This window comes from Homo sapiens, chromosome 8, assembly GCF_000001405.40.
Source record: "Homo sapiens chromosome 8, GRCh38.p14 Primary Assembly".
Lineage (NCBI taxonomy): Eukaryota > Metazoa > Chordata > Mammalia > Primates > Hominidae > Homo > Homo sapiens.
The window spans coordinates 83359904-83361509 of NC_000008.11; the positions used below are offsets into that span (position 1 = coordinate 83359904).

A 1606-nucleotide genomic window follows, 5' to 3' on the forward strand; every position below is an offset into this window, starting at 1 on the left:
GGGCAACCAAATAATCATAAAATCTCAGAACTGTAAGAAAATACATATCTTATTAAGCCTCCATCATCAACTATATTTAATTCATGCCTTATTGCCACACTTCCATATATACTAATAGTCTGTTACATTTGGACTTGATAAGTTGTCATTAACTAACACCATTGGTATTTAGATAATGTCAGGCATAGTTTCCCTATCTTTGAAATAATTTCATGGTTATGAGCCTAAAGGCTTTTTTTGACTGATGGGAGGAAATATTTAGGATGATAATAGAACATAGATAATGATACTTTTGTAGCATAAAGTACCAGAAATGACCTCCAAATCATTGTCTTGCACAGGAATTTTACTGTGAAATTGCCTCAATTAATTAAATTAGATCATACAATGTAACTAATTACAGCAATGTAGCTATTCATGAATTGATTACCTTTAGGAAATATTGAAACAAAGACAGCTAATTCAATTCTTAAAAAATCATCTTATATTTGAATTTTCCTATATCATACTGAAATTATTTAAGAACGAACAGGAAGTTTAGCTTGCTTTTATCTATTACTCAAAACAAAATAAAAATATATAATTTTGGAAGAATAACAAGTTCCACCTTACAAGCAACAGCAAAAAAATGCATTAAAACTCAATGAAACTCCAAGCAGGATCATGTGTTGGTTACTTTTATGTGTCATTTTGAATGGCCACAGGGTGCCCAGATTTAACACTATTTCGGGTGTGTCTGTGAGGGTGTTCTTGGAAGAGATTAGCATTTGAATGGGTGGATTCAGTACGTAGACTTGACTCCTCAATGTGTGAAACTGGGCATCATCCAATCCATTGAGAGATTAAATAGAACAAAAGGTGGAGGATGGAGGAATTCTCTACTTTTGCTTCCTGCCTGCGTACTTGAATTGGGACATCTCCTCTCATCTTCTCTGGCTATCCAGGTTCTCAGACCTTTGTCCTTGGACTTAATCATACTGTCAGCTTTCCTGGGTTGCTGGTTTGCACACAGCAGATTTGGGGACTCCTCAGTCTCCATAATCACATGAGGCAATTTCTCATACACATATGTATATATGTGTGTGTGTGTGTATATATATATCTCCTACTGATTTTGTGATAGATAGATAGATAGATAGAGATAGTAACATTTGTGTGGAAAAACTTTAACTAATACAACAATAAGACAAGATTAAAACCCTTCTCAGCTGATGATCAAGGGACTGAAAACAGGCAGATGATTGGGATACAGAAATCATTATGGTTGAGGGAGAGAAGATAAGGGAATAAGAGGGAAAGGAGAAACATCAAAAAGGAGCAGGGAGGTGGTAACAAGTGGAAGTACAGGGGGTGTTACAATAGTATCAAAAAGAAGTAAAATATTTAGACATGAATTTAACCAAGAAGGTTATGTAACAAAGCAGATTAGCAGCTTAAACTGCTAAGCCTTAAACTGCATTCTTAAAATTTTCTTTTTCCTTTCCTCCTTTCTTCCCAGTTTCAAGATGTAGCTCTGAGATAAATTACACATGTGTTTTACAGCCTTGGATTGTTTTCTTTCCTCCACTCCCTTCCCTTTCCCACTTTATTCTCCTCATGCACATTT

The 1606-nt window shown here is 35.1% G+C and overlaps 1 annotated feature.

Annotated features, from left to right (window-relative positions):
* Nucleotides 581-1084: an enhancer, noted in NCBI's record as "NANOG hESC enhancer chr8:84272719-84273222 (GRCh37/hg19 assembly coordinates)". NCBI's record gives its function as "activates a minimal SCP1, AML or CMV promoter by ChIP-STARR-seq in naive H9 embryonic stem cells {active_cell/tissue: H9 hESC(naive)}" and the evidence as "EXISTENCE:reporter gene assay evidence [ECO:0000049][PMID:30033119]".